Raw genomic sequence first — 22,008 nt, forward strand, 5'->3', positions numbered from 1 at the left:
AGTGCATTGGGAAAAATCCAGGGGGACAGGAAGGTAACAAAAGTCCAGGGTTAAGTGTTTTCTTCCCAACTGTTCAAGAAACTTGGGATGAGAAAATTCAATGGCACTTAATGACATTTTCTAAATACCTTAATTACTTAGACTTTGGTTATTAGTTAATGAGCTGGAAAGATGAAATAAGACAATATTAACTCATGAGCAATCAGAATAATTCAATTAACATGAGTATGCATGATGTTGTCTGGAACCCTGTTGTGATAAATAAAAATGAAAACTCTTTGGTAAAAATTCAAAGGAAAAATAAGTGTCTTCATGTTCCTCCAAATCACAGGGAGGTAATTCAAAATGTTTACTTTTTAATCCTGGTCTTTCTTTACTTGACTATAATCTACGAAATAAGAAAATTCAATGATAAACATATGAAATAGGCATCTCTATCTTTGATTAACCCAAAATCTCCTCACTCCCACAGACATGCACAGGGCCCAGTCAAAAGTGTACAAAAACAGAATATATAGTGTTTCTTCTTCTCAATTATTCAGTTAAATTCAATGTCTGAGATGATAAAGACCTGGCTTAAATGCCTGTTAAAAGATGAAAGTGGTCAAATAAATCATATACTGTAGAAGAAAATTCTAAACTCTCAAAAAACTCACTGTCTTCTAGGGCATATGATTTATTGACAACAAATATAGCAAAGTGTGCAATAATAGAAGTACATTATAAATCTATAAAAAGCATGGGATGGGCAGACAAAGGTTGCAGAGATGAGCATGCTCAAGCTAGGTCTGGAGTCTGCACAGGAATTACTAAATGGACAAAGGGAGTTTAAAAGGCTCTAGGTAAAGAGGACTCATGGAGAAAGGTAAAGACAGTCAAATAATGAGGGAGAAAGCACATTTCAGTTGATTTTACTGCTGGAATGGAGAGTCCAAGATGGAGGGCCTAGAATGGTCAGTGAGCAGGCAACAGTAAAAATTTTTAAGCAGAGAAATATTTTGAATACATTTTTTTCTACAACAGGAGACTGTTGTCTGTAGCTTTGTAACCAAAACACCAGGGGTTCAGTCTAGGTCCTGCTGTTTGCTGCACAGAAAGCCAATGACTGAGACGACGTGTCCTGCCAAGGAAGAAGGCTTTAATCGTGCTCTGCAATTGGGTAGATAGGAGCTCAGTCTCAAACCTGTCTCCCTGATTGACTAAAACTAGGGGTTTATATAGTAGGGAAGAAATGTAACAATGTGTAAGAAAACAGGAACCAGGGATGGGGCAAGGAAGCAATCATGATGAATGAGTGGTCCCACATCTCATTGTCTAGATGTGGTGATCTGGTGAGTTTCAGTTCTTTGATACCTTTTTTAAGAGGCCTGAAAGTCATTTCCTGAGGAAGGAACTCAAATAAAACAAATGAAATTTCAAGTTTTAAGACCAGAAGAGTCAATTTCTATGTTTATCCAAAAACAACTGTCTATGAGACTATTGGGTTGGTTTCAGCTTGTTACTCAGTGGGTTAGCAGGCAGTGTTTACGGGGAAGGCATCATAGCATCCAGTCTATTCAGGTTCATAGCAACCTCAAGGCTGTGACTACTGACAGTATTCTCAACTTCCCCCAGCCATTCCCATAAGAGGCAGGTGTTTTATTGTCAGAAAGCATATTAGGAGCAGCAGCTGGGTGTCTGAAAGTGCTTGTAAATGCAGTGACCATTGAGATGGCCCAGGGAACTTACAGACAACTTTTTATTAGCAGGAGCCAAATTTGTAATGCGGAAGTTGGATATGTACAGGCAAGAGATGCCAGGTATTATTAGCATCAGTGCTTTCTGGCCTGCACCCGGCCTCTTCTTTGACATTTTTCCTAATTTCATTCAAGCATAATAGAAAGGGGGGAAGAGAGCGTTGGACCCAAGAATGCCAGTACCTGTGTGTCAGAACTCTCTGTTGCTAAACTAGGGAAACCTCACTAATTAATTGTGAGGCACTTTCTATTGGTCCTCAGTATCCTTTTGATTTGTCCAGGCTGCCACAAAGAAGCTATTAACATTGGCACAGGAAATGAAGCCTAGCTGCCATTTCTGTTTTAGGACAGTCCTGTAGAATGGTTTGTTAACAGCGGCTTCCAATGAACATAATTCCAGTGGAAAGTCGTTTAAGGTGGTGGCCTCAGTGCTTGATGGTGGGCTACCAGAAGGCTAAAAGCCCGCCTGTGCAGACTCAAGGCAAAAGTCAGAAGTAAGGGTAAGAAGAATAGGGGAATAAGTGTCCAGAAGTCAAAACTCAAGAGTCAGAGACATACACTAACCCTTCTGCTAGGAATATTCTTCCACCCGCTATTCCTTTGATAAATTCATATTTATTCTTCAGGTCTTAGCTTAGAAATTGCTTTTCTTACTCAACTCCCACTTGTCAATTTTGTCATACCTTTTATTGCACTAACAGAATCCCAGACTTTTCTATCATGGCACCCTTTACCATCTATGCAACTCTTATAGGCACTGAATATTTCCTTAAAAAATGCAAAATATTAGTCTGGCTCTATTTATGACTAGCACAGCAGATTCCCCATTTATTTATTTTCGATTTTTTTCCTAAACTTGTTTTGATAAGCAAGCCTCATTTACATTTTTCAAATTGAATTGACATCAGAATACAGAAAATAATATGATTTGGCCACCCAACCAGGTTAGTTAAGTCAAAGGGTATGTATATTATCAGGACCCAAAGAGGCTTTGTGCCTTGAGCAGAAAAACTTTTTTTTTTTTTTGCTATAGCAGGGTCTGCTTCTTTTTCCAGGACATAGCCAGCCCAAAGTCTTGGCTTGAAGCCCTAATTCCCCATCTCTGGAAGTTCTCCATAGTTGCTGAGTGAATTCAACCAGTGAAGTAAAATGCGATTAGAACCAAGTTTGTTATTACATAAACCTGTATATATTATGTAGCCAATTGAAACCTGAGTTTGAAAGAGACAGTGTACTTTGGAAAGAAAAAGGGCAGTTGTTCAAGTCAGAAAGGCCTGGGCTTTCTTTTTGTTGTTTATTGAGGGAGGGGAGTGTATTTCAGTTCTGCATAAGCTTAGTCAAGTTACTTAGCCTCTCCAAGTTTCTGATTTATTAATTGTAGATACTTTGAAAGCTTGCTGTGTTGCCAGCTTTCAAATATCATTTGTTGAGGCTGGCACAATGTTTGACCATAATTAAAAGAAATAAAATTACAAGTACACATTTTGAAAATTATTAATCAGGTTACAACTTGTATATATATGCTCTTTCAGTCCTTACCACTGCCCTAAGTAGGCTCTCTTACTATCTTCATTTGACCTGATAAAATTAAGCCTCAGAGAAGTTAACCTGACTTGCTCAAGGACATCCAGATAGTAAAGGTCAGAGGGAACCAGGATTCAAACACAGATTGTTCTGATTTCTTAGCTCACGTGGTGCAGTTTGCCCACAACTATGGTCAGCTTACGGAGTGGTGTGGATATACCTCCACATTGTGAATGGCTTTTTGACAAACTCTAGATAAAACCTATATTTCCTGTCTTCCCTGGGGATAGTAGGCAAAAGTTGCAGAAGTGTGGGGCTTCTTAAAAAGCACTTTAAAGGGGGCTCACTCAGTGTGAAACCACACTGTTTGCCCCTTACTCCTTTCAATTGAACATGATGGCTGAAGCTACAATAGGCATCTCATGACCATAAGGTGACCTCTAGGATGAGGGTCATACTAAGGGTAGAGGAGCAGAAACAGAGAATACTCCTGGGTCCTTGATAATTGTGGTGCTACCATACCATCCCTAGAATGCCCACAACTAGACATCTTGTATATGAGAGAAAATACAATTTTTTGTCTTATTTAACCCATTGCTATTTGATGTTTTTAAAAAATATATATGGCTGAACTGAATCCTAGCTAATATAGGCTTCCACTAGATTTTTCATGTTTATGTTTCTTGGACTGAGGAATATGACAGTATGGAGACTTCAATCACATTTTAAAATTTATAAGGCATAACTGAATCAGGCAAGATACACAAAATAATAGCCAGAGAATGCCAAAATGACCATATAATTTGTTACTTCTTCTGGCTCAGGACAATCACAAAAAAAGAAAGGAAAAGCAAATATTTGTTATTCTGCTTTGTAGTATTCCAAATATCCATCATTTAGCTCCCAAGGGAAAGACTCCCAAAGACTGAAGCTTCTGGAGTAAAACCTCATATCTGTCCCCTAAGAAATCATCCTACTAGTTGGTCTAATCTTTTTGAATACTGCTATAAGAATAGTCTACTGATCTCCATGTTCTTAAAAGAACATGATACAAGAAGGTCCACAAACAACGGGGACTACATATTGAGTACTTGCTCCATCCGAGGCAGCACTCTAACTCCTTTACATCAATTTACCTCCTTGAATTTCAAAGTAACCTCATGATCATTAATTTCTTTTACAAATCATCAGGCTCACATACAGAGAGATTCTAAACTAGGTATGCACAGGAAAGAATGATTTCAAAGAAATAATGATACAGCAAATGATTTGAAACCCATCTAATACTTTCAATTACAAAAAAAAGTTATAGATGCCCTCCTTAAGGGAAAAATATTAAATCAGAAATACCTCTCTTTTTAATATAGGAATTGACTTTAATTAAAGCAAGTTATGAAGTAAATCTCTAGAGCCTTAAAGTTTTTTGCTTATTCTGGTTTTAAATTTCTTAGCTGTACTGATAGAGAACCTTGATTTGATGGCAAACTAGCTAAGGCAGAAAGCTCAACAACACACTCAAGTCATACATTATCCTTGAGGTAACAGCAAGCTAAAGGGTGTTTGTGTTTATTTGTTTTTGTAGAGGGTTATAGTCTTTAAGAGGGCAAATTAGTAAAGATCAAATGCCAGTTAGGAACAAGATAACAAAAAATTTTCAGAAGCAATTAAAAATGCATAAGGAAATATCAACATACTTTCCCCAAAATTATTTTGGAGTGAAGTCATTGGAGGCATGCCTCCCATGCACAGGCACCATTATCTTTGCATTTATTCTGGGGGCTGTACAGTGTATCTTCCACTTCCCCTTCCAGATCCTATTTCCACTGCTTTTCACCCTTCTCAGTTCCCCAAGAGGCTGGCCAGTGGGGCCACTTCCAGTGGGGTTGGCCATTGGAGCACATTAGCAGGAGACCAGAGGGGTGGAGGAAAGCATGTTTAGGCCATGCATTCCCTAGAGTCTCCACAGGTTTTAACAAAGCACATGCTTCTTCCACCCTGGCATCCCTCTTCACAGCTCTCATTCTTTCTCTCCATTTATTTTTCTTTAGGTTTTAGTAACTATTCCTTTTCCTTCCCCATTCAGACCCAGCCTATTTCTAGCCCCAAGGTAGTACCCAAACTCTTTTGGGGTTCCCATATTCTGACCATAACATGGTAAAGGATCTCTTTCTAAAGTGCTCTTGAAACTACACAGCTTGTGTGTCATCTGCTTCCTGCCAGAACCCTTATTAAGGCAAAATGCCTTAGAAATCTTGGCTATGAAGACTTGGATATGAGAAATCAGCTCCCTTTACAGCTCTCTACCTTAGAAAACAGCCCCATGTATAATGTCCTTTTTGAGGATTATGCAGGGGAGTTCTAAGGTTATTACAGTCATAAATAAAGATGTTAACAGCTACAGGGATCCAAGAGTACCAGCAAGAAAACTTCCTTGTGCCAACCTGAGATGAAGAATAGTTCATATCAAAATGAAAGGGGAGAGGCAGCAGTTGAGTTATAATAAACAGAGCAATAAGCCACAGGCAAAGCCCAATAAGCAGGGAGAAGCAGGCAGGCATGCCTACCTTGGGATGTGAGATCAGGGCCAATTGGATGAAAATGGGAAGTCACTTCACGAACCAGACACAATTGCTCAGGCAGCCTGTAGGGCAGAGAACAGAAAATAGGGAAAAGGCAACTTAATTCAAATAAACTTTTCCGAACATGACTTGAGACAGGCTTATCATAAAATCCCTCACAGCGGTACGTATTGGAGTTATTCCATTACATTTACACATATTAGAGTCCTCAATACAGCCATGATTATAGATCATATTCTTATTGAAGCCTGATTGATTTTCTAATTCATTCATTAGTTCATTTACTTCTTCATCATCCATCCACCCATCCACTCAACAAACAATGTCAGGGCATCTACAGAGTACAAAGCATGATATTATGCATGTGAGATACAAACAAAAGCAAAGGACAGTCCCTAACTATAATCTGGTTGGGCACATTAACAGAGAGATGAACAAGCTAATGATTTCATGATAAGTGATGGACACCATGATAAGTGCCAACAAGAAGTGGACAAATTCCTAGACACATACAGCCTACCAAGGTTGAGCTATGAATAAATCTAAAACCTGACCAGACCAATAACAGGTAATGAGATTGAAGCCATAATAAAAAGGTCTCTCAGTAAAGAAAAGCCCGGGACCCAATGGCTTCACTGCTGAATTCTACCAAACATTTAAAGAAGTGCAAAGGTAGTGAAATGCAGAGGGCAAGGGAGCACAGAGGAAGCAGACATGGTTCGGAGTCTGAGGGTCCTTGGGGATAGCCAGGGAAAGCTTCATGGAAGAGGAGGCAACTGAGCTGAATTTTAATGTTGAATCTGACTTAAAAAGAGGAAGAGTATCCTAGCATGTGGTATGGATCATAGGCATCTTTAAATAGACAATTTCAAAAGAGCACAAAATTTTCTTCACATCTTTCAAGGAAATTCAATGCCTGAAGTGATACCCAGTGTCTGAACTACCCCCATCCTTTTCCTAACACATACCTTTGTTGCTAGGCAACAACCCCTGGGCTAGATCCAGCCTTATTCTCAATTAATTTGGGGGAGATATTTTGTTGTTTAAATTAATACCCTTGGAGCTTCATTTTACAAAGAACAGGGAATTGCTTTGGGCCTTTCTATTTGGTTTAACTGTGAATTTTCTAACTTCTCTTCAATCATACTTCCACCTCAATTTAGATCCAAAAAAGTCACACCTATCACAATGAAGAAGAACTGGTGTAATTGTTTCGAAACAACCTTTCTCAGATCCACTTGCTTAGAAGCTATTAAACTTTTTGAACTCTCTTGGGAAATAGAAAAATGATTAAGATGAGTTTTGAGTATCTTTTTATAACAAGGAAATCTTGCAATATAGAAAAAGGTGTATTGTAATTAAGTACATTAAACTTTGACTGCCTCCAGCTATGTAACCAATGCAATGCCAGGGGTTAGGTGACGGAAAGCAATGTGCTTCGGGGTTTTCATTCCTGAAAATTTTTAAGGCTGATAGAAAAGTGTCCTGGTGCTGCACTATGAAGAAATATTCGTTTTTGATTTATATGAAATGCTATTGAATCATTTTATGGAAAGAGGCAGACTTAATTAGAATTATCTCCAAGAAAAATGAAGGCCCTAGAATAATTCATAAAATATGAGCTTACTGTGCAGAAGAGATGTGTTCATTGCTTTACAGGTGTATAGAAGGAGACAAAAGGATACGATCAAAAACCGTTTGCAGTAATACCTGTAGTTGGGTTGAGAAACAGTAATGGAGTTTCAAATGCTGTAATGAATCATGTAAAGGAGTATGTAATTGAGCGTGTACAGGCATACCTCATTTTATTGCATGTCACTTTACTGATCTTCTCAGATACTGCACTTTTTACAAATGGAAGGTTTGTGGTAACCTTGTATTGAGCAAGTCTATTGGCACTATTTTTCAAACAACATGTGCTTACTTCATGTCTCTGTGTAATTGTCGTTTTGGTAATTGTCACATTATTTCAACCTTTTTCTTATTATTATATCTATTATGGTTATCTGTGATCAGTGTTCTTTGATGTTACTGTTATAATTGTTTTTGGAAACGATGAACCATGTCCATATAAGATGGCAAATTTAATCAATAAATATTATGTCTGTTCTGACTCTGCCAACAACTATCCATTCTCCTTTCTCTCTCCATCTCCTTGGGTTTCCCTATTCTCTGAGACACAATGAACAATAGTGAAATTAAGCCAGTTAATAACCCTATGATGGCTTCTAAGTGTTCAAGTGAAAGGCAGAGTCTCAAATCTCTCATTTTAAATCAAAAGCTAGAAATGATTAAACTTATCAAGGAAGACATGTCAAAAGCTGAGGCAGGCATAAAGTTAAACCTTCTGCACCAAACAGCCAAATGGTGAATAAAAGGAAAAGTTCTTCTAGGAAATTAAAACTGCTACTCCAGTGAGCACACAAATTATAAAAAAGCAAAGCACACATTGCTGATACAGAGAAAGTTTGAGTGGTCTGGATAGAAGATCAAACCAGCCACAACATTCCCTTAAGCCAAAATCTCATCCAGAGCAAGGCCCTAACTCTCTTCAATTTCAATTCTATGAAGGCTGAGAGAGGTGAGGAAGCTGTAGAAGAAAAGTTGGAAGCTAGCAGAGGTTGGTTCACAAGATTTAAGGAAAGAATCTGTCTCCACAACATAAAAGTGCAAGGTGAAGCAGCAAGTGCTAACTTGGAAGCCATAGAAAGTTTTTCAGAGAAGATCTAGTGAAGATAATTGATGAAAGTGGCTACCTGAAATAACAGATTTTCAGTGTAGATAAAACAGCCTTATATTAGAAGATGCCATCTAGGACTGTCATAGCAAGAGAGGAAAAGTCAACACCTGGCTTTGATGATTCTCGTGTTAGGGGTTAATGCAGCTGCTTATTTTTAGTTGAAGTCATTATTCATTTACCACCCTAAGAATCCAAAATCTACTCTGCCTGTGCTCTAGAAATGGGACAACAAAACCTGGATGAAAGCACATCTGTTTACAACATAGCTTGCTAAATACTTTATACCCACTGTTGAGACTTACTTCTCAGAAAAAGAGATTTCTTGCAAAATGGTACTGCTCATTGACCATATATCTGGTCACCCAAGAACTCAGATGGAGATGTACAAGGATATTAATGTTTTTATGCCTGCTAACACAAAATTACTCTTTGATCCATTTTGCAGCCCATGGACCAAAGAGTAATTTTGACTCTGAAGTTATTATCTAGGAAATACATCTCATAAGGCTACATAGATAGTAATTCCTGTGATAAATCCAGAAAAAAGTAAATTGAAAACCTCCTGGAATGTATTCAACATTGTAGTTGCCATTAAGAGCATTCATGATTCACGGGAGGGGATCAAACTATCCACATAAACAGGAGTTTAAAATATGTTGATTCCAACTTTTATGGGTGACTTTGAGGAGTTCAAGACTTCAGTGGAGGGGATAGGTGTTCCAAATAATGACAGAACTAGAATTAGAAAGGGAGCATGAAGATGTGACTGAATTGCTGCAATATCATGATTAAACTCAAATGAATAAAAAGTTGCTTCTTGTGGATAAGCAAAGAAAGTGGTTTCTTGAGATAGAATTTACTCCTCGTGAAGATGCTATGAACATTGTTGAAATGACAACAAAGGATTTAGAATGGTACATAAACCTAGTTGATAAAGCAGTGGCAGGTTTTGCGAGCATTGACTCCAGTTTTGAAAGTAGTTCTACTGTGGGTAAAACGTTATCAAATAGCACTGCATGAGAAATCTTTTGTGAAAGAAAGAGTCAGTCAATGTGGCAGACTTCATTGTCTTATTTTAAGAAAGCGCCACAGTCACCGCACCTTTTAGCAACCACTGCCCTGATCAGTCAGCAGCCATCAACATCGAGGCAAGATCTTCCACTAGCAAAATCATTATTACTCACTGAATACTCAGGTGATCATTAGCATTTTTTTTAGCCATAAAGTATTTTTTTAATTTTATGCCATAAAGTATTTTTTAAAGGATTTTAGACATAATGCCATTGCTCACTTATTAGACCACAGTATAGTGTAAGTATAAGTTTTATATCTACTAGGAAGCCAAAAAAATTGTGTCACATGCAAGTATTGAATATTTGCTTTACTGCATTAGTTGGAACCAAACTCGCAGTATTTCCAAGGTGTGCCTGGATTTAGAATACAGAGCATTAAGTATAGAAAACAAACATAATGCTTTTTTTTTTTTTTTTTTTTGAGACAGAGTCTTGCTCTGTCACCCAGGCTGGAGTGCAGTGACACGATCTTGACTCACTGCAACCTCTGCCTCCCGGGTTCAAGTGATTCTCCTGCCTCAGCCTCCCAAGTAGCTGGGACTACAGGCATGCACCACCATGCCAGGCTAATGTTTGCATTTTTAGTAGAGGCAAGGTTTCATCATGTTGTCCAATCTGGTCTCGACCTCCTGACCTCAAATGATCCACCCACCTCGGCCTCCCAAAGTACTGTGATTACAGGTGTGAGCCACCACGCCCAGCCAGAATGTCTTAATGGAATCTTGCTGTCTATTAATGTGATGCCTGTTCCCCCTGTTACCCTGTGTTCCATAGAGGAACAAAACTCTTTGCCAAAGACTTTGGAAATCCTCCTACTTAAGGGTTTTCTCTAAAATGCAGAGACTCTAAATGACTTACTCAAACCTGCCTGTCTTCACTTTGGGTTTCAATATATGTGATATGCATAAATATATATATATAAATATATATGAAACATACAACAAATATAGAAAATGACACAAGACTCCCAAGTATGCAAAGGCCAAATATAGCCGATATTAGCATTCCATTGTATTTTTTTCAAAACTCTTTTTTATTTTTTGTTACAAATTGGAGCTATGTCTTTCTTCCCACTCTTTCTTGCCCTGCTCCCTCCCATGTATAGGTACCAGAGCTCTAAAGTTGGTGATTATCATTATTGTCCATATTTTTGTACTTTTTCTAAGTTTACATGTATCTATAAATAAGATACAGTATTGATTACTGCTTCTCTATAATGTACATAAATGATGTCACAGCATATATATTCTTTGTACCTAAACTGGACTTTTGGCACCTTTTCACACCATGTGTTGATTTAAAGTGCACAATTAAATCAACATTACCCAGAAACATCTTGATAGAATCAAGTAAAGAGATCTCATGGTATATTAACAAAAATGTGAGGATTGCTATCAGAATCACTCTTAGAATTCATACCTCTGTATGGCAGTGGTCAGTAAACTATTTCTATAAAAAGAGCCAGATAGTAAAAATGTTCTGCTCTGAAGGATATATGGTTTCCATGGAAACTACTTGATCTATTTCAAATAAAAAAAGCAGGCATAGATAATATGTAAGTGAATGGGCATGGCTGTGTTCCAATAAAACTTTATTTATAAGAACAGACTATGGGCTGTTTTTGAAGTTTGCCAACCTCTGGTACGTGGCAGTGAGAGAGGAAGGAGGGACCTGGCTGTGCCATCTTGCTGTCTATAGAACTCTGGGGTTGGTAGGGCTGATCTAAGGGGTCAACTTCCTCCTTGATGCTCCAAATGCATCCCTTATGAAGTGCTTCTCAGAGAAAGATAAACCCTCATTAGTGAGGAACACTGTTTGGTCCAATTTATAAGGGGAATGTAAAATTAAATAATTTAAACCTGAAGGTGTTGGAACTTTAAACTATTGTGAGCCCTGAGAGGAATGTGGCTATGTGGCCTGAGTCACATAGCAGTTAGCTGCAACTTTTGCTTTTTCTTGTAAATAATTAGGAAAGACCAAATAGTGCCAAGGATAAGATCCCTGGAGATCATGAACCCCCTCTTATAGAATGTCACAGCAATCTTCCTTAAGCTACAGCAAGCTGTAACCAATTAAATCACTATAATATATGTACTGACCTTGCATGGAGAATGTTTTAACCCTTATAAACTCTGCTTCTGCCTATATAAATGAAACCTTAACTTATCTGCTTTGGAGCACTGACTCTATTCCTTTGGAGTCTGTGTTTCCTGAGTGGCTATTCTCAGCTTTTTGCTCAAATAAACCCTATATGTAATCATAGTTTCTAAATTTAAGGTTGACAGAAACTCTGTACGTGGCTAGCACCTAGTACCAAGAGGCAGGTGGAGCAATGATGTGTTACCATGGAAAGAACACTTAGCTGGCAGTCAGGGGACCTGGGTTTGGTTCTCAGTTTACCACTGTCATCTTTGTCATCTATCTGGTCTCAGGCAAGACACTGTCTCTCTGGGCCTCAGTTTCCCTCCTGAAAAATTACTGTGTTGGGCTACATTATTTCTGAGTTTCCTTACGGTGTCCAGATCTGATGATATTTGGCATGGTATAAATAAATAGAATATAGTGAAAATCCTCAAGGAGGACAGATGATTTATTTAAATTTCATTAGCTTCCTTTCCCTACCTACTAGTCAGTATGAATATGGCTATAAAAGCAGACATCAGGAAGTGACTAGAAAGATGGAGCAGGAATTAAAGGAATCAAGGAGAGAAGAGGTGCTTAGTGTTAAGAGTACCACTATGGATGAAAAGTCCGACTTTAGATATAAAAGCAGCTTATATAAAATTATAAGCTACAGCAAAATTGTTCCATATTGGCCAAGAAAGGAGAAACGAATGCTGTAAGAAGGACTTAGTTTCAGCTCAAGCAAAAGAGATTCTTTCAAGAAATTCTAGATTTCTAAAAATGCAGCAGCTGTTACAGGAGCATCTTATTCATAGATGTGTGCACAAAAAAAAAAAAAGACTGACCACTTGAAGTAATATAAAAGGGTTGAATGAGAAGTTGGACAAGAATCCTGAGACTGAATCTCCTTCTAGACCCAATATTTTATAACTATATCAACATAAACTGGACTTGACATACTTAGAGCTTCCTTCTGAAAATGCCCATTGAATTTTTAGAAATATGTTAGATATTAGATATTAGATATAAAATATATTAGATAAATTTTACAAATTATCTCAGACAAGGAAGATTTTTAAAATATTTATGTTTTTCTTCAGTACCTAGTACAATGCCACATTGTACTAACGGCACATAGTAGGTGCTTATTAAATATTTGTCAAGTAAATGAAAATTTATATAATACTGCAAAGGGAAGCGTTAAATGGTTTACGTGTTCCTGGTCAAACTTGAGCTAGCTTCCCTGCTTTTCTCTTCTAAACATCTCCACAGGGTCATCCAATTAGTGTTTGAATTGAGTGGCCATGTGAGCCTAAGAGCAAACGCTTGCATTCCAAGACATGGGGAGGGCTAGGAAAAGGCAGACCATCCAGTAAGGTTTGGTTGGCCACAGCCGCATGTGGTCCATTGTTAACTTGGCAGCATTCCCATGTGCTGCAGGCTGAGGTGAACCCTGGCAATTAACGCAATCACCTTCTCTGTAGCAGCAGCAGGATTCTCTGGAAGTTATAGCAGTTAAGAGGAGAGCACAGCTTGAGGCTCAGATCTGGGATGCCAGGGTAGAGGTGTAGGGGAGTCTGTTCTGCCTCCAGCTTCAATAAACTCTGGCTTTGGAAACAAGATTCATAGCAGAGAACGACCAAAGGGGAAAGAAACCCATTCTTTTCCCACTCAGAGTAGAATGGGGATGTGTCTATGTGTTGCGGGGCAGCGGGGCGGAGGGGGGTCAAAAATATAAAACAGTCAGTGATGCTGCTGCTTCTTCCAAGTGCATTCAGCTACATGATTCATTTGATCCTGCTGTAAGGTGAACCAACAGAATGACCTGGAGCTTCAGACTCCTAATTTCAGACCCCTAACCCATGCCAATAATAAATCTGAGATTCATTTCATTTTCTCATGTTTCATGTCATTTTGTCTCATGTTTCCACAGCCAGATAAAATAAATCCCCTCTCAGAAGCACCTGGACCTGAGAGGCCATCACCCAGGTGTGCAGCTTTGGAAACTAGAAAAGAGTATGATGATTATCATTCTGTTTTCTATAGAGGAAAAAGATGAGCAAATGAGGATCAGAATCCTGCCAAGTCTAAAGCCAGTGCCTCCATGGAAACCTAATTTCTACTTAATAGCACTAAATGATTAAATGAGACCCTTTGACACTGCTTCTTAACAAGGCATGATAGCTGGGTGCTTTGTTTTATGATTCTAGTTGTTGAATATGATTAAGAGAAGATTCTCTGAGCTCTCTTTCAACCTTAGAGAACCCTAAAATGTTTTTTTAATTACACCAGCAAAGCTGGAAGATAACATACACTACATTTATTGATCAATTTCTCCAAGTGCTGGGGTTATACTTGGCACTTGCTAGATGATTACATTATATTTGCTGTTAATAATTGCACCCCGGGAACTAATTTAACTCCTCATTCCCCCCCAGAGTAGTATTTTACCTTACCCTTTAGTTCAAGGGAAAGTTGGTGAATCTTAGTCGCCATAAATGAGATAAAAGGTAATTTGTCAGATTAAATCCCTGAGCTGAAAATTAAACAGTGAGAACACTGTACGAGGTTTTTATGATTCTCAATCCTTGAGGTGATCACGGAGACATAAATTTAGGTTTCAAAATTGGAGTCATTCCCCAAGGAAGGGACTGGGTTTGGCCTGAGAGGGAGGATCTTGAGGTGTGGGAAGTGATGACATCAGGCTCAGTTTTTCAAAGGAAACTTTAGAAATGAGGAGGATTTTTAGAAAGTGAGAGAAAGTGCACGTGGCCTGCATGGGGTCCTGAGAAGATACAGGTTAGGTCACATTCATCTGGGAGGAGGGGGAGCTGTAGAGGTGGAAGCACTGGGCTGCTCACATCCCTTCAAGGAGAAACCCTAGAAAACATTACAATAATGACTCAGCCCTACCTGATCTGGACACCCTACCCTCACCCCCTCCCTATCACTCTGCCCTTTGCCTGCCCCACCCACCCATGCTGCCCAGGGTCTTCCTTGACTTTCCCTGCATGTTCCTGCCCCAGGACAGTTGTATTTGCTGTTCCTTCTGCCTGGAATGCTGCCCCCTCACTCCCCAGGCGATCACCTGGCTCACCCCTCACTCCTTCAGGCCTTTCCTCAAAGGTCTCCACTTGATGAGAATTTCCCAGACCACCCTGTTTAAAATAGGAATCCCCTGCCTCCTGACCTGCCCACTCTCCTTGAAGGCTCTTTTTTCCCACAGCACTGATCACTTTTAACATATCATATACTTTACCCTTTTATTCTCTGTCTCCCTGTCACTCCTGAATACAAGCTCCCTGTGAGTGGTGATTGTTGCCTGTTTTGGTCACTGCTGTCTTCCCAGTGCCAAGAACAGTCCCAGGGTACATAGTTGAATGAATGAAAGAGAGAAAACAAAAGTCCAACTCAGGGAAAGAAAAATAAGAGAAACCCCAAGCAGGATGGAAGAGATGAGTTGCAAGGATAAAAAGAGAACTCCAAAAGCTGAGATTTTGGGAGACGTACATAAAGAATAGAGCAAGATAAATTGCCCCTGCCATCCCTGCTGTGTGGCTTGGCATGGGGGCTCATCACCTGACGTCCGCCCTTTAAAATGATCTGCTCACACCTCATAGGTTCTGTTCTGCCTGAAATAGTTACAGCGACTCAGCACAGAGGGGTGGGAGTAAATTATTCTCTAGGCTGTATCAGCTGTGGCCAGAGCTGTGTTATCTGGCGGGGTCTTGGCAGTGGCTGACTGAGGCTGGAGCAGGCCCGGGCGGGCAATCTTGGCATGCTGTACTCTCCACAGTGCTGCCACATGTCTGGTAGGAATAGAAGGAAACATGTCACCAGAGCTCATCCCTCCTTATACCAAACCACAGAATGATCTAAAATTTCCATTCAATTAAACAGTAGAGAAAGAAGAATAACCACATGCATAAAACTCTACTATCCCCTGAGATTCCTCTAAAATGAGAAAAAAATATAGACTTTCTGAAAAAGAGAAGAATCTGAAAGGGCAACAAAGATGAAATAAGAGATAATAGTAAATAAGGGATGTTAATTTATTTTGGCAAGAGTGGGAGACAATGGAGGAATTGGCGTATTTCATCAGTTCTAAAACATGCATCTTTTTAACATTTTAATGTTTCTGAAATCAGAATGGCTCTTACAATTGGTGGTATCTTACAGTTGTAATTGGCAGCATTTTTCCTTCTAAATTATTTATTAGATAATGAATAATGTATTCTATAATCGATTGCATCTTAGATGAAATAAAACATGATAACAGCACAGAGAAATCTGAATGCTGAAAGTTCACAGAGGGCCATGCCAATGAGAGGAAGCCAAGCTCCCTTGCAGAATTCCAGAAGGGGCAGAAGATTTGCCTGCACCGTGTGCTATGAGGGTTGGGGTGAAAAGCTGGGCCAACGAGGGATTGGTTGAAAGTTGGTAGAAGGAACCACAGACTCCTCCAGATCCCTGACACTTTCCGCACCGATGCAGCCAGCTAACTACCCTTCTCTTCCCCTCATTCCCTGGATCCAGATAAAATACAGGAGGTTCAATTAAATTTGAATTTCATATTATAAATAATTGCATGGGACATATTTATGCTAAAAATATTCTTTGGCCATCTGACATTCAGATTTCAATGGGCAGCCTCTATTTTGTTTCTGTTTGGATGTGGAGGAATTGAATCAGACATGTTCTAAACTGTGACATGCAAGCTCCGTGGAAACCTAGGAAGAGGCACAGTACTGAGCACAAACAGTTTAAGTAAAGACCTATTGAATGATGACAGACTCAGCCACATTTTATTTGTTGTTGTTGTTTGTTTGCTTTTTTGAGACGGAGTCTCACTCTGTCACCCAGGCTGGAGTGCAGGGGCGTGATGTAGGCTCACTGCAACCTCTGCCTCCAGGGCTCAAGCAATTCTCCTGCCTCAGCACCCTGAGTAGCTAGGATTACAGGCGTCCACCACTGCGCATGGTTAATTTTTATATTTTTAGTAGAGATGGGGTTTCGCCATGTTGGCCAGTCTGGTCTTGAACTCCTGACTTTAGGTGATCTGCCAGCCTTGGCCTCCCAAAGTGATGGGATTACAGGCATGAGCCACCACACTCGACCACTCAGCCACACTTTGTAGTTCAGCTTTGAGAGCACTGAGGGTCAGATTCACTCCCTCACTCCCATCACCACCATCCAAGACAAGAAGGTTGGGAGCTCTTGTGTGGGGACCCTGACTTTGGAAGATCCCCTAATGAAGCAGCTAGTCCCCTGCCTACCTAATCATCCGACAGAGAAGCCCACCATTCAATGAGTTCTCTCTCCCTGCTCCCCGTGAATATATGGGACTCTCATGCAGATTTCTGCCCCACTCTGAAAATGGGCAGACAACAAAACACCGCTAGACATTCAAAGGAAGCCTGCAATTTGGGAAACAGTAACAGACAATAAAACAGAAAAAGAACTGGCCGGGCGCAGTGGCTCAAGCCTGTAATCCCAGCACTTTGGGAGGCCGAGGTGGGCAGATCACGAGGTCAGGAGATCGAGACCATCCTGGCTAACACGGTGAAAACCCGTCTCTACTAAAAAAATACAAAAAATTAGCCAGGCGTGATGGCAGGCGCCCGTAGTCCCAGCTACTGGGGAGGCTGAGGCAGGAGACAGGCGTGAACCCAGGAGGCAGAGCTTGCAGTGAGCCGAGATAGCGCCACTACACTCCAGCCTGGGTGACAGAGCGAGACTTCGTCTCAAAAAAAAAAAAAAAAAAGAGAACTTACAAGACAGAAAGGTAATATGAGAACGGGGTGGTAGGGAAGCCTAAAAGATAACTAGCATGTTAGAGGGAAGAAATGGTATTGGATTTATGAAAGAGTATCATCCTGTCTTTAAGAGGGAACAACAAAATAAGAAATTCTTTAAAAATATAATCATCAGAATTAAAAAAAAAACAATTAGGCCCAGCGCGGTGGCTCACGCCTGTAATCCCAGCACTTCGGGAGGCCCAGGCGGGTGAATCACCTGAGGTCAGGAGTTCGAGACCAGACTGACGGATATGGTGAAACCCCGTCTCTACGAAAAATACAAAAATTAGCTGGGCATGGTGGGCGGCACCTGTAGTCCCAGCTGCTTGGGAGGCTGAGACAGGAGAATTGCTTGAACCCAGGAGGCAGAGGTTGTAGTGAGCCGAGATTGCGCCACTGTACTCCACCCTGGGCAACAAAGCGAGACTCTGTCTCAAAAAAAAAAAAAAAATGGAAGGGTAAAGGTAAAGATTGTGAAATCTCTCAGAAAATAAAATAAATAGGCATACAGATGAAAATTTGGAATAAAAAATATATAATATTGAGAGGATCCATCCAAGAAGTGTTCAACTAACAGGAGGCCTAGAAAGAGAAGAAAAATCAGGAAGAAACAAAATTATCAAAGAATGTAAGAATATTATCTGGAACCAATAAATATGTGTTCCTGGACTGATAGGGCCCACAAAATGCGCAAGACCAAGAATGGAAATAGTGCAAAGTCAGACCCATTGGCATAACCACCAGAACCCTAGTGATGAAGATTCTTAAAGAATTGGGGGTTGAGGCTACATGCACATCCAAGTTATGGTTTGGGAGCAGGTGAGCACCACATTTCAGGAATGACATCACCTTCTGAGATGGGAATCTCAGTAAAAGTCCAAGATCCCAAGGGGGTGGGAAAGGATGTTTGAGGGGTGCATGGAATAAGTTAGGCTGGAATCACTTCTGAGCAGCTATCCACACAGCCTTCACTCAAGTGAACAATGCACTTCACTTGGCTCTCATGATGTGCAGTTAGCCTCTTCTAAAAGAACTCACTGCCACCATGCACGCTGGAAATTCTGGACTCAACATCTGATTATACTAAATGACAGAGAAAATGAGCAAGATTTCATGACTCAGAAGCATTCAAAGTACTCAAGATATTTACAAATAAGCACACTGTAATTAACCATAATTAATTGAAAGCAATAATTGAAATTGGGAAATCTCATGCAAAAATCTAGATTTCTGGCTGATTTCAAAGCACATGTAGATTTGAAAACATAAGGCTCATCTTCTTGAGACAATTGGCTGGAGCTTAATAGTTGCCTGCTTCAGATTAGGCTTGCTGTTCCAATTAGCCAGAGTCTCTATCACTCCCTATTTTCCCTGAGTCTTGATGTCAGTTGTCCATTGCTATTTGTCATTGAATGGACGTTCTCTTTTTTTATTGTAATAGAGTTAAGTGGAAAATGAACCTTTACCTTAACATGGTCAGCATCACTCAGACTCATCCCCAGCCTAATTCTTGTGGGCATTTGAATTGCTATCCTGCTTCAGCAAGCCACAGCATGACATCCCACTAGCATTGTGTCTAGCTACCACTTAAAAACTGCACCATGAAGACAATTTTGTTTTCTTTTTTCTTTTTTTTTTTTTTTTAGATGGAGTCTTGCTCTTGTCCTCCAGGCTGGAGTGCAATGGCGCGATTTCAGCTCACTGCAACCTCTGCCTCCTGGGTTCAAGTGATTCTCCTGCCTCAGCCTCCCAAGTAGCTGGGATTACAGGCACCTGCCACCACATCCAGCTAATTTTTGTAATTTTAGTAGAGATGGGGTTTTACCCTGTTGGCCAGGCTGGTCTTGAACTCCTGACCTCAGGTGATCCACCCGCCTCAGCATCCCAAAGTGCTGGGATTACAGGAGTGAGCCACCATGCCCGGCCAAAAATTTCATTTAAAGAGAAGCCCTTGGTAGGAACCAGGGATGGAAATGCTTTTGATAACTAACCACTTAATTATTCTGGATCTCAGTTTCCTTCTGCAAGAGAAATCTTAAATCTTGTGATGCTTAGTTGCCAAGGTGCTGCTAATGTAGTAAGAAAAAATATGGCCAATGGAGAAAGTAATATTTCCATTATCAAAACTAAAGTCCCATTTAATGACTTTTCTCTTATTTACCCCAGCTCAAACATGAAAGCCCCCATTGTGTACACTGTATTTCACAATATTTCCCTGGTTTATCCTTTCTATATATTTTCAATTTAGAAACATTAAAAAAGAGAGAAAAAATAAGTTATGATTTGGCATTTTAGAGAGATTAAAGATTGTAGACAATTCTAACACTTTAATACAGAGACTTTTCACAAGCTTAATTGAGGATGGCTCTAAAAATTAAGGAGAAAAAGATAAAAGTAACGTGTTGTTATCAGTAAAAGCTGCCAAGAATTTATCAAGAGTTTGATGTGGCTGTGTTTCAGTTGGCCTTGACTAGAAGTGGAGATGCTCTGAAACTCTCCTATTAGTTTAGTGCAAAAGTAATTGTGGTTTTTGCCATTGAAAGCAATGGCACACCCCACAATTACTTTTGCACCAACCTAATATAATTGGTATGTCCTTAATTGTGGGGTGAAATAAAGGCCAAAATCATTTTATATATTGCCTCAGCTTACCTCATGTGGGCTATTTCAGGCAGGGGAATCCAAAGCCCCAGGGGAATGAAACGGTATGGCTGCCTGACAAACTTTGCTTTGTTCAAGGTGTTAGAGCAGGTATGAACCTTGAGGAGGGAGGTGGCACAGATGAAGGGTTGTGGCATAAATTTTGCTGAACTATTCATGTAGATGGTATAGCATATTATACTAGATGTGTTCACACTCCAGAAATATGCGGTTGTTTAGAAGAAATGCTTCCGGTCTTCTTTGTTACATGCCTCTTTATTAATGTCAGTAATGATAAGCACCTTTTATTTGAGTGCTACAAGTGCATTTCACTGCATTAGGTATTTTTATGCATCATCTCTGATCTTCAGAACTACGTTGCTAAGTGGATAATTACCCACTATTAACCCAATCATCCATCCAACCTACACATGTGTTTTGAGCTCTGCCTTCATGCCAGGGCCTTTGTACCCAGCACAGGAAATGCAGTTGTGAATAAAACAGTCAAGGTCCCTACATTCATAAAACATATATTCTGGTAAAGAGTAACCTACAATTAACTGCAATATAAAATGTAACAAATTAATAAGCACCATGAAAAAAATGAAGACAAGGAGAAAGGAAGATATGATAAAGAATGTGGGTGACTACTATATATGTATATTTGTTTACAAACTGTAATGAGTGCCACCACCATATAATACAAGGAACCTATTGATGAATACGCAATGAGAGTAAACTTAATTTTGGCTTGGGTGAGGTGTCAAAAAAGACCTGTGTAGGTAAGTGGCATTTAAGCTGAGACTTCAGTTAGGTGGGGTGTTAGGTGAGGTGGGGGTGGTGGGAGGCGGGTTGTAAGTAAGAGGAATAACATGGACAAATGTCTTGATGTAGAAAAGAACTTGACTTATTGGAGGTGCTAAACTAAAGCCACAGCAAGGAGAGTAACTCACGGAGTGGGACAAGGTGAGGTAGAGAGGAGAATGGCACAGGTCAAACGCTCATGAAGATCAGTGTCATATCTAAGGAAATAGGTTGTTACAGGTTAATAGAGCCCTAAGAACCCAAAGATAAGTGATCAATATTTGATTAGAATCCAGATATATCAAACTATGTGTCCCATCTATTCAAGTAGCTCTTTCTAGTACGCATGCTGTCTCTGTACCAAGAGGCAGTTGGGAACACACACACACACACACACACACACACACACACACACACACTCCTAAACTGGGAATACCAGTTCAGAAGCAGATCCCTGCAGTTTGGCTGCATATATTTTTGGATAAAGATGACCTGGCAGTGCCTGGCCCATGTTCCTTCAGTACTAAAGCTCAGACCAACAGCTGTGCATCTCAGTAAGGAGCTGGACCATGCAAGTCAAAACTAGGCTGGAAGCACTTAACACCTGAACTCCTGGGCTGCTGGCAAGCCAGATGATAAAGGAATAAACAGTCATCGTACCTCATTCTTGGCCTTTAAATCATCCGAGAGCCTTCATCATTTTTGTCGAGTTATTTTAATTGCTCTCATTTGCAGAAGCAAATTAGGTGCAGCATTGTTCTCAGGATGCTGTTCAGATTGATGCCAGGAAGGAACAAAATGAGCAAAAAAAAAAAAGAAAAAAAGAAAAGAAAGAAAACCTCTTTCCACACAAAAGCCCAACCAATCTCTGTGAGGGAAATTGATTTGTAAACCTTGTCAAAGTAGTTTCAAAAGCAAATCTATTTGGGGCATCGTGGGGTTTGTAATCAAGGTCAGAAGAAATAGTTCAATTAGTACATGTGTCTAACA

The 22,008-nt window shown here is 39.9% G+C and overlaps 1 long non-coding RNA gene across 1 annotated transcript in view; it reads right to left on the reverse strand.

Annotated features, from left to right (window-relative positions):
- LOC101927394 (uncharacterized) overlaps positions 1–22,008 on the reverse strand; it is a 63,503-nt gene that overhangs the window by 33,597 nt on the left and 7,898 nt on the right. The window contains exon 2 of the long non-coding RNA NR_110131.1: positions 5,825–5,901. This is a non-coding gene — a long non-coding RNA (uncharacterized LOC101927394). The remainder of the gene's footprint in view (positions 1–5,824; positions 5,902–22,008) is intronic.

The sequence above is a fragment of the Homo sapiens genome, chromosome 3 (genome assembly GCF_000001405.40).
Source record: "Homo sapiens chromosome 3, GRCh38.p14 Primary Assembly".
NCBI lineage: Eukaryota > Metazoa > Chordata > Mammalia > Primates > Hominidae > Homo > Homo sapiens.